Below are 12,096 nucleotides of genomic sequence, written 5' to 3' on the forward strand. Positions count from 1 at the left end.
AAGAGCAAAGTCATGTACTTGAATGACACACACAGAGTCACGTATATATACACACAGACATATGCATGTGTGCATATATATACACAATATTTTTACACAAAATTAATAAAAGCATATACTTTGCTATGTAAAAAAGAAGGTATATCAGGCTCAACCAAAGAAGTATCACTAGTAAGATATATAAACTACTATACATACACATGTATCCACCAAACATACATATAAACATATGTATATCTGCCTAGGAATATTCATATAAACGTATGTATATCTGCCTAGGAAAATCCAAACTCCATATGACAGGCCATTAAGAAGCACAGGCTGGAATTCTCAGGGAGAAGCTAAAGCTGCAGTCCAGAGGCAGAATTTCTTCTTTCTTTGGTTAGTCTCAGCTCTGCTTTTAAGGGCTTGCAACTGATTGAATCAAGTACACCTAGGTTATCTAGGATACTTTCCTTTACTTAAAGTGAACTGATTGTGGACTTTTTATCACATCTACAAAATACCTTCATGAGATTAGCGTTTGATTAAATAACCAAGGACTATAGTCTAGCTAAGTTGACACATCAAACCATCACAGAAATTTAATTAGTAAATAAACTGAAAAAGAAATGTCTGTTCCACTTAATCCTATCATAACTTCATTAATATTGACATGCAATGTTCAAATTACACAGTATTTTGTTTAACAAAACAAATTATCCATATCCTAGTTGGGAAACATTTAGCCATTATGTTTATGAATATATTTAAATAATTAAAAATGATACAACTCTATCTTATGGACCAAATATTTGTCTCTTTTCAAAATCCGTATTTTGAAATTCTAACCTCTAATGTGATAGTATTTAAAAGCTGGGCCTTTTGGGAGGTAATTAGGTCATGAAGGTGGAACTGTCATAAATGGAATTAATGCTCTTATAAAAGGGATTCCAGAGCGCTCACTCTATCTTTTCTGCCATGTGAGGGTACAATAAGAAGATGGTAGTATACAACCTGGGAAAGGGCCCTCACCAGCACCCGACCATGCTGGCACCCTGATCTCAGACTTCCAGACTCCATCACTGTGAGAAATAAATTTATGTTGCTTACAAGCCACACAGTTTATGGTACTTTGTTTTAATAGCCTGAAATGACTAAGACACTATGTTATATATTTCAGACAATTTTTTTACCCTTATTCTGTTTGAATTAGCTGTGTGTATAATCCTGTATATTGTTTGGCAAGTGACTTTTTTATGAAGAAAGCAAAAATTAATAGATTTTTTGGAGGTATTATATATTATCTAATACTCACCCAAATCCTGTGAAATGAGACTTATTGTATCTATTTTGTAGTTGAAGAAATTGAAGATCGGAGAGGTTAAATTGTCTGTGATCAGGGAATAAACAAGTGGGTGTTTTCCAGATTGAAATGGGGCCCATTTCACAGTATTTGTCAGATAAAGCAGGCTGAGACCCTCTAGCACATAGAGGTACAGGAAAATCTGGTATATTTTTCATGAGGATCTTTTTAGACTTACCAAACAGCAAAGTCATGTAGTTGAATGACACACACAGAGACACATATATATACACAAGGCTTGTGTTTACCCCAATGGGCTGTCTTTGCCCGTGACCATCACCCACTGATGAACACAGGCTCTACATAACCAGGAATTGTAGCAAATGACCACATCTAACATTGATTGTTCCTCTTTGCTTTTTAATTATCCATCTAATCTAATTTTAGAATTAGACTGAGTTAATAAAACAGAATCAGCAGATGCTAAAGGAAAGTTCATCTCCCATCCCCCCGAGTCAGTTAACTGTTCTCAGGGAGGGATGGGGAGAAGGGAAGTGATTGGAAGCTAACCACAGATCAAATGCAGGGAAGGAGAGGATGGACAGTGATAATTTAGGAGCAGTTGCATGTAAGAAGACTTAGGTATTCACCCTGGGGGGCTGTTACCAAATATGCTTGTCAAATGTACTGGTATCCTAAAGGAATAGTGACTTTAAGAAGCAGAGGCCTGTGATTGTCCTATTTCTGAATTTGTTCCTGATTATTTAAGTGACATTGGGCAAATCATTTTACCTCTCATTGTTTTCATGTCTTCTCTTAAAAAATACTGTGAATTTTATGAAACTTGCTCTGAACTGTCTCCAAGGGAAGGTGTGTGGATAAAATAAACTGCGAGTTGTGAAAACGCTGCAGAAAATGTCATTTAAAGTGCTATGCAAATACAGTGATGCAGAGTGTGAATGTAGATGGAGGGCACTGCCTTCATTTCTTCTGGGTTGAATCATTTTTGGTCAAAACACCTGACTGTACTTCTTCGGTGACCCTACAGTCTGTCCATGACTTGACTTGAGTCTTGGAGCTTTCTAGTATCCTTGAGGTTAGCACAGCATCTCTTTTCGCTTGAAGCTTCTGGCTAGGGTAAATTCATCAGCAACTCCCTTGAAACTAGAGCTTGGTGCTCACTGTGTAAAATTTTTTTTATCAAACCATCTAGGACAGAACATATGCACCATGGGGATACAATATATAGTGCTTTTCTTTCCTGAAGAAGAATTGTAGTTTTCAAAAGAAATGCCTTCAGATTCCCTCTCTTCACTTCCTCCAGCCTGGTGCTCTCTGTTGCACTATTAGAATCAGCTAATCAGACAAAACATTTGATGAGCTGTACCTCCTTTCTTCCACTTGTTTATTATTCTTATAATCCTCCCAACAAGGTCAGCTTAACCTTGATCTATTTGAACCAAAGATTTTGTGCTTATATTTACTGACTCCCAATTACCTATTGAAACAAACACTTTGGACATGTGGCTTGATTCCTACTATTTCCCAGTTGCAGAAAATCCTACATTGTTGCACTTTGATTCTGAAGTGTATTCATGGATTTTTCTCTATTCAGTACTTTGTACTGATATTCAGTGTAGGATAATGCAACAAGAAGTGTTTATTCCCAAACTACACACCAGTGGTACTGTAGGGTGGATTCTTGCAACCTGAATTTTAAATGTCCCAGATTGTTGACAAGCACTAGATTACAGATTTTTCAAATTTATAATGGCTTATTGAGATCCTAGGTGAAACATATCCTAAACTGCTGACTAATGAAAGGCTCACTAACTTGAAAAACAGAAAAATAGAAAAAGGCATGAAAAGTAAAACATGTACTTGCTTGATTGAGAAGCCATGAGTCTGTGCACAGAAGGACCTACCATCAAACCAGGATTTTCACGAGAAATAATTTTCAGATATGCTTCAGCACTTGGCTGAAACTGTAGTTTTATGGATTCTTTTTGCATCTGTCTTGAAACTGTGGTTGAAGTCACTGTGTGTTGTCATTCAAAATCTCCTACAAAATACTCCAAAGAAACATATCATAGACCAAGGCTAGAATAGTTTTAGCAAGGAATTTAGCAGGAAATGGCAGTCACCCCCTATGACCTGTCATTTCATTAGTTACATATACACAATGCTAAGGTATTGAATATGAGCTATTAATTCACTTTTATCCAATTCTCTTTCCAACTTTTTGGAAAAAATTCCCTTGTTCTGCTGCACTCTGTACCATTCATTAACTGTGACCACAAAAATCCTGAGTGGAGCAAAGAATTCATGACAATGAGGCAGCCATAAAAATACATGCCTGGGCAATGAATGACTGTACATACAAGGTATCCTCAGAGTATGTAATAATAGTAAGGGCCAGAATGCCTCTTAAGACAACAGGCTGGCAGAAACTCAACCATAGCTTAAACAATGATATTACATCAAAAGAGAAATATGTGTCAAATAAGGAGGTAGAGGTTGTGATCAACTGCAAAAATACTATTGTTGAAGCTTCTATGCATCCATGACTTTTGCAGTATAACTTTAGAACTCCTCTTCAAGGTAGGAGTCCTTGAATATAAACTAAACTTTTCATCCCCTTTGGCTGATAAAATGCAATAGAATTCATGGTGTTGTTAAAAGATAAATGGAGATACATTAAAATTTTAAGGAGTATATTTCAGCAGGTAACATATTGTGAATTAGGCAGACCAAAGAGAGTTTTGGGGCTCTGCCAAAGGGCATAAGGGGAAGCTTTTATAGGGTCAACTCAGAAGCAAGGCAAAGAAAATATTTGCATGGTTAAAGTGGAGCAGTAGCTTTATTTGGATCATTCCAGGGCAAAGTCCCTAGTTAGAGACTGGTTGGCAGTTTCTTATTGGTTAAGCTTAAGTTTTGTTTTTCTATTTACACTGAGTTGGGTTTTGGCTGACTTACATAGGGAACACTGTGTCTTGAGTCTTAGGAGAGTTTGTTACGCAGCAATAGATAGTGAGACAGAGGTCATAATCTTAAAAAAACGACTTAAGAGAGATTAATATTATTGATATGAATATAACCTTGTCCAAAAATGAAATCTGGAATATAAAAACAGTCTAGTTACTTGGGCTTTCCCAGAGTTTAAGTGAGGCACCCCTGAATTCTGACTCCTCGCCAGACTGGCAATGTGAGCATTTCATGTTCCAAGAAGTTAAGATCCTATTGTTAATTTACATTTGTATTTTGGATTTCTATCCTTCAACCTAATGTGAATTTGTCTGATCATCTCAGACAGGCTGTGATGCAAATGTGAAGTTTCCCTTCACACTGAAACTTGCCTAAGAGGACATCCCTGTCTAGCATCAACATTCTCCTTGGTACCAAGCACAGGGTTCTACTAATCAATACAGACTCATCAAATGTTAGAGATATTCTGCAATGGAAATGCTTTACTTTTTAAAGTAATGGTGTGCCCATATGTCAATAGCAATGGGTATTACACCAGAAATATTTGTCCTGTGGATATTAGCTCAATACATAGAAGAACATTTAGTCTTTTAGTTCAGTATAGTGAGAAAATACAGGGCTCAATTCACTTTAACACAAATATAAATTTTGAAATAGGGAAGAGAGTTTAAACTGTGTCTTTGTAGAGTATTAAAATGCCATCTTCTATTGATGGATCATTTCTAGTTTTGGCAGTTATTAGAGTACAGATTTTGAAGAAATGGTAATAAACATTACTAGTTGGTAATAAACAGCACATGCTAAGTTCTTTGGTTTCTATGTATGAAATCAAAGACTGATGAAAGTCAAAGAAAACTATAGTCTCATGTGGCTTTGGATAGATTTGTCCATAAAGTAAAAAAGAGAATAGTAGTTTTCAGTATCACTGTGGTTATGCCTAGAAATCTTCACTACACGAAATGATGAGGTTTACATGAGCAGCTGGGGAGGAATTCCCAAATGAGTGACATTCACGTTGGTTACTGAAGTATGAATAGGAGTCTGACAGGTCCAGAAAAGAGGGAGGAGTCTCAGGAAGAGGTATCAGCATATGCCAAGAACAGAAACATACAAGATAATGCTTAATTGAACCAAAAGCTACAGTATTGTGAACACAGACTACTTTGTGCATATATTTATATAAAGAAAAAATACCAGTAGGGACAAACACAGCAGGGAAGATCAATTAGAAATTTTGTGAATCAGGATTTTGTTTAAAAAGAAAAATTAGATTACTTTAATGAAGCAAATAGACATATTAACTTTATCAGTCAGGGGCTCCAACTTCTGTGTACGGCTTTGGACAGAGCCCCCAAGCGCCCTGGGTATGGTAAATAACTAGGAGTATGAACCAAAGCACTCATTGCCAGGTATTACTTTTCACTCTCTTTAAGGAATCAGATATATTATTAGATCAGAGGGTGCTGACGCTTTATTATTAGTATTTAATGGTGTGACTTACGGGAATTTAATTCCCTCACTTTGAGTGACCATATATTATTATTCTACTTGTGATTGGGCATTCACAATCTGACCTTATTAGCTGCAAACAGATGCCAGACTCAGCTCAGTTGTGCTTCCCTGGGGAATGGCAAACAGCCCATTACAGGCCCTGCCTTACAATGGTTGAACACATGGAATCAGGCAATAGGTCTCCAGTCAGGGAAAGCCAGAAAATAGAAAGCAAACTGTTTTTCTTACTTCTCATTAAACTTCTTACTTCACACTGTCGTAAGCCTGAGTCAGACTCAGCTCTTGGTCAGGGGCCTATAATTGGCTTATTGTAATTGGCTCCCTGTTTTGCCTGCCCTAGCTGTAGACTGAAAATGACCTGAAATGCTGGCAGAGTCTTCTGGGTTTTGACATTTCCTGTGTGGGATCTCCATATATTATTGCCCATCAGTCAAGCAGGAAAAAAAGGTATGAAAGTATAGTAAAATCAGTTGAAATTCCATAACTGGTCATAGTCAGTTTCCTGTTTCCTAGGGGGAAGACTGGGTAGGGTAAGTCCAGGTAGTTTGAGTCATTTGGGGGCTACATTTGGGAGAAGGAGGGTACAAGTGTCATTTGACAAAAAGGGACAAAACCTTTAGGCATGTCAAAACGTAAACTTTAGCATTGAGTTGGAGAGGGAAGTCTAAAACTGTGTCAAAAGCCAATGGTGCTTGAAGAAAAAAACAAAGTGGGATGCAGAGATAGGAAAGAGAACAGAGTAATCGATGGGCTACATGAGGTAGAAGTTGTCTCAATATATAAACTGGTGACAAAGGCAGGATCCTGACATGCAATTCCCACATTTTTGCACACCTCAATTAATTTAAATAATAGGATAGATAGAATGTTATAAATAATAAATTAAACATTTGAATAACCCTATTATCTACTTTTTTTTTTTTTTGACAGGGTATCATTCTATCACCAAGAGTGGAGGGCAGTGCCATGATCTCGGGTCACTGCAGCCTCAACCTCCTGGGCTCAAGCAATCCTTCCAGCTCAGCCTCCCAAGTACCTGGGACTATAGGCACTCTCCATTACACCTGGCTAATTTTTTGGTATTTTTTTGTAGAGATGGGGTCTCATCACATTGCCCAGGCTGGTTCTGACCTCCTGGGCTCAAGTGATCCACCCACTTCAGCCTCCCAAAGTGCTGGGATTACAGGCGTGAGCCATCATTCTGGGCCTAAGTAACCCTATCATCTAAATATGCCTCTTAGGAAATTGCATCATAGTCTTCAAGTGGAAGAGGCACGTTATTTAGAGTATATTGACTAAGAGTGCATTTTCTGGCCTCAGGAAAAAAAAAAGGTTTAAATCCTGGTGTTATCAATGATTAGCCATGGGACCTTGTTCGAGTGCTTAGTAATTCTGAGCCTTATTTTTTTCCCATCTGTTAAGTGGGGAATAAAAATAGTATCTCCCCTATAAGTTTGTTGTATTCATTGAGATAAATTATATAAAATATTCAGCAAAGTGTCTAGCATGTTGTGAATGCTGCATATTTATTAACTGCTATTATGATTTGGTGGGTGATGATGATGTTGATAAAGAAAAATTAGTATTTTCTGGAAACAAATTAGACTGAGAGAACTTGTACAGCTAAGTTAAAGCATCCAGCTATAGTTTAAAATCCTGAGATATGAATTTACCTGGTGCTAGACCTTTAATTTCTTGTACGGCAGATTTGGTTCTCATAGCATAATTATTCTTACAAATGAGCCAGTGCTCTAGGTCTTTTTCTGTGGGTTTGAAGTCAATCAGCAAAGGCCTAAGTGGTTTGTAGTTAGAGTGTTAGTCAGAGTGTTTTCCACGGTATCTCATTAGCAGATTGTGTAACCCCAAGGCCGAGTGGAGACTGGCTCTGCTGGGCGATTGTGCCGATGCTGTGCATTTTCAGGCTCTTGTCTGTACATACAGCAGGTTGGATACACATTTCCTCTTCTTGTGCTTTAGTAGATACGTGGCCAAGTTTCAAAGACAGTTTTCTGTTCAAACATTGTCACTATTTCTTCTTAGAGAAAGAAGTTGATGTGAGGCAGATGGAGGGCAAGTAGGGAGAGACAGTGGTTCATGAATAATTCCTTGACAGCTTTGAGCATAAATGTAGGTATTTAGGAAGATGAGTATCAACTTGCAACTCTCACTTTTTGCAGACGCATTGTTCCTAAACATCCCTAATGCTGATCATAGCTCCAGGGCTAGCTCAATGCAGCTATGTTAAAAAATGAGCATTTGAACTGTTATAACATTTGCAATGTAAATTTTTTTTCTAGTTCATTTTGGTCTCAGGCTGCCTGCTAATAAGACAGGTGTATCTACTCATTTGTGTGCAAACATTTCTTTGAGGTAAACCAGGTCCTGGTGCATTCATCAAACTTCCAAATATGGCAAAGAGATCTTTGTCTCCTTATGAGCCTCGTTCCTTGAATAATGGTCCTCTGCAACAAATTGGATCTACATTGTCTTTAGTCTTTAGCTTTCTCTCTTATTCTCCCGATACACAAACCCTCTCTTTGAACCAGACTCAGTTTCCTTTGCCTGCAGCAGGTGGATTTACTGAGACTTGAGCTACAGGTTCAGGGCTGACCCATTCCTGAATGAGTCCTGACCAGGATAAAGAGAGTGTCTGGAGCCTTATCTCTGTTTACAGGTGAGTAGAGTCCAGGTGTTGTCTTGCTTCCCCAGGTTCAGAGTCTGACTATCTGCAGAGTTAGTTGGGCTCCCACATTTCATTCAGCTGTAGCCTAACCACTACCATGTTTATTTTGTCCAGACCCCAAAAGATTTTTCTTGCCTCACATGGTTAATTAGCATAATATTGTTTGAACATCCAAGTGAATTGCCAACATTTAAAACTTGGAGTCCTCAGAAAAAAAAATATGCAGATTTACAGCTGAGATCTAGCAAGGCCCTTGCCTTCATTCTTGGCAATGAAGAATATATGAGCTTATCACCCCTGAGCAGCCCTTATAATTCATATTTAGTCCACATACTGGTTCTGGACCCCTGCTCAAAACCTCAGCCTGTTTAACTGGAGCACTGGCTACTTGCTGAGCTCTTTTAGATCCTCTCCTCCCGGGCCAGGAGAGGTTTCTATCCCCTGGACCCCCAACCGCTGTTGTAGTCTGTCTCACTCTAGAAAGATAGACTGCATTGAATAATGAGAAACTGTAACCACCTGGGTCAGCAGATAGCTGTCTAAGCCCCCTTTAATTCTACTTTAAACACTGCTTAAGACTCTCTTGGATATCGATATTGTCCAAATACGTAAAACTGTCTCTGCACTCTCTCATTAGATTTTTGGACAATGCCTTCAAGACTCTATCCTACAGATTGATCAATTTCCTACCCCAGTTAAGCCCATTCCTACTTTCCTTCCCTTGTTGACTAGCCCACTACTAAAATCCCAGCATGATGACCTTGCATCAGGTGAAATGATTTTAGCTTTAACCACAAACACTCAAGTAGCTTAAACAATAATCAGATTTTCTTCTCATATGAGAAGATAAACATAGATATGATAGCCTCCAGGCTTAATACTTCAGTGATCCAGCTCCACTTTCCTGAAAATTTCTTGGCTCTGATATCTGCTTGTTGGTTTCATCCTCAGGTTGGCTGAAAGATGACTGTAGCATTCCAGACAGTAAATCCATATATCCAGATCATCTGGATGAAAAAGTAGAATGCCGGCTCTCCCCATGTGTCTCTTTCACCGGCTAATAACTTTTTCACAGGTTCTTCCCTGTGGGATGTCCTTTCACATTTTCTTGGCCAGGATTGGGTTTTCTAACCCTTCCTGCACCAATCACTGGCAGGACAGGGGAATGAATAACCTTGATTGGCTTAGAACAGGGAGCAGCACACTTTTTCTGTAAAGAGCACGAAAGTAAATGTTTTCAGGGTTGTGGCCCATAAGGCCTCTGTTGTAATCGCTTAATTTTGTTGTTGTAATGCAAAAGTAACCATAGACAATATGCTCATTTATGAGTGTGTCTGTGTCCAGTAAAATTTTATTTATAAAAACACACATTCAGTTTGACCCTCAGGCCATGGTTTGCTGATCTTTCGCTTGCACTAATTAGGACTTGCCCATGGAGAGAGGGACCATATAATTTTTAGTACACATCAGGACACTTTTGAAAGTGAAAGGGAATGCTGTTATTTATACTTAAATAATAGGCATAAATTAAAATTGTACTAGAGTCATCCTATGGATCATGTGAAGGAGGGATACAAACCTGAACAAAATTGAATTCTAACAGAAGAAGGAAATGGAGTATATTGCTGCCGAGATAACCAATAGTATGTGTAACAAATGGTAATAGTGAGACAGGAATCCTAAGACGTGGAAGCAGAGCACAGGCTGAGGGCAGATGGACGTGATGTGGAATGAGTATGCAGATAACAGAGAGAGGCCCCTGTGCTGGACTATAGTGAATGAGGAAGAAAGCATTATGAGTTCAGAGGAGGCACTCTCCAGACCACAGAGGACCTTCAGGCCATGGTAAGAAAATTAGAATTTATTCTAAGCGCAATAGGAAGCTGCTGGTTGTTTAAGTGGAGGTGTAGCATCTGTTTTATGTTAGGAAGATGCTCTTGTTGTTGTGTGGAGAATGGATTGGAAGGTGGCAAAAGTGGAGGCAGAGAGACCAGTTAGGACACAATTATAGCCCTGCAAGCAAGAGATGGCAGTGACTTGAAAAATTTAGCAGTGGAAATAGAGGAAAAGAAACTGATTAACGGAATGTTTTTTGAGGAATAGCAAAAGAACTTCTGGAAAGATTATGTGCGTGTGTGGGTGCGAGGGGGGCTGTTGTAGGTGGGCTGGGTAAGAGAAAGAAAGCAATGCAGAATAATAATATTTACACAGCATTTATTATATGCCAGTCTTTTGCATATAGGAATTCATTGGGTTGATTTAACCATTCTGTATGTTAACGATCTTCATTTTTGAAATGAAGAACTGGGACAAGGAGAGGTCAAGTAACATGTCCAAAGGCACATAGCTGATAAACGACAGAGTCATGATCTGAACTTAGGCATCTGAATCTACACTTTTATTTTTTATGCTCTTCCAACTCTTGTGGTGCTATACTGTGCTGCTTCTCACAACACTCCCGTGACCCAAGGCTGTGGGCTGGAGTTGCCAGGTAGATGGAGCTGCAATCTGCCACAGGGAGTTTCCCCTTCTTTAGAATCTATCCAGTAAATCAGAATGATGCATTTGTCAGTGTCACCGAATAATGACATTTCTTTATTCTTGTTTATCTGTGGTTATTTGCTCACAATTTAATTTATAGTTGCTTATTTTATCACATCATTTTAAGTCTTCGCTGGTTCACTGGACTGAAAGCTGACTGAGAAAAGAAACTGTATCGTCTTCATTTTGTATCACCCATATTATGTAGCTCTATTATTTGCATGCAGTAGATACTCAGTATATATTATTTCATTTGAGTTGGAAAGCCCTGGACTACTTATTTTCTAACCATCTAATTATTTAATTTAAAACTTGTTAAAATTCTCCACAATGATTTTTAATTGGAGCCCAGGGGCAAAACAGCACTGATTTGAAAGGCTTGTCTGAATGTTAGAATGCTCTTAAGAAATGTGATTTTATTTTTTCCCGGTGTTTTACTTTTTTTAACACTCAAGTTTTTAAAGTGTTTTTAAATTTTAACTTTTTATTTTGAAACAATTTTTGATTTCCGTTATACATCCCAAAAATAGTCCAAGCAAGAAATTCCCTTGTACTCCTCACCAAGACTTCCCAAAGGCTAACGTTTTACATAACCACAGTACAATTATGAAAATCAGGAAATTAACATTGATGCAGTACTGCTATTCTCATCTACAAATCTTACTACTCTTTTGGCAATTGTCCCACTAAGGTCCTTTTTCTGGCCAGGATCAATACAGGATCATATGCTGCATTTAGTTGTCATGTCTCCTTATGTCTCCTTTAGTCTGAGATGGGTCTCTAGCCTTTCTTTATCTTTTGTCTCTAGCCTTTCTTTATCTTTCTTATCCTCGACACTTGTAAAGAGGATTTGGCCAGTTATTCGGTAGACTGCCCTTGTTTGAAGTTTGTCTAATATTTCATTATGATTATATTCAGGTTGTAGATTTTTGGTAAGAATATCACAAAAGTGGCATTGTGTCCTTCTCAGCGTGCCATTTTAGGAGGCACAAGTTGTCAATATGACTGTTACTGCTTAGGTTAATGTTGATTATTTTCCATGTAAAGGTCACTGCACACTTCCTGTGATATTTCTACTTGTAACCAATAT

General features: G+C 38.2%; 1 long non-coding RNA gene across 1 annotated transcript; it reads left to right on the plus strand.

Moving 5' to 3' along the window:
• Positions 1–1,855: 1,855 nt before the first annotated feature.
• Positions 1,856–7,234, plus strand: LOC105371829 (uncharacterized). The gene is made up of 3 exons (XR_934859.2): positions 1,856–1,913; positions 6,123–6,229; positions 6,713–7,234. It is a non-coding gene; the product is annotated as an uncharacterized LOC105371829 (long non-coding RNA).
• The last annotated feature ends 4,862 nt before the right edge of the window (positions 7,235–12,096 follow it).

The sequence above is a fragment of the Homo sapiens genome, chromosome 17 (genome assembly GCF_000001405.40).
Source record: "Homo sapiens chromosome 17, GRCh38.p14 Primary Assembly".
NCBI lineage: Eukaryota > Metazoa > Chordata > Mammalia > Primates > Hominidae > Homo > Homo sapiens.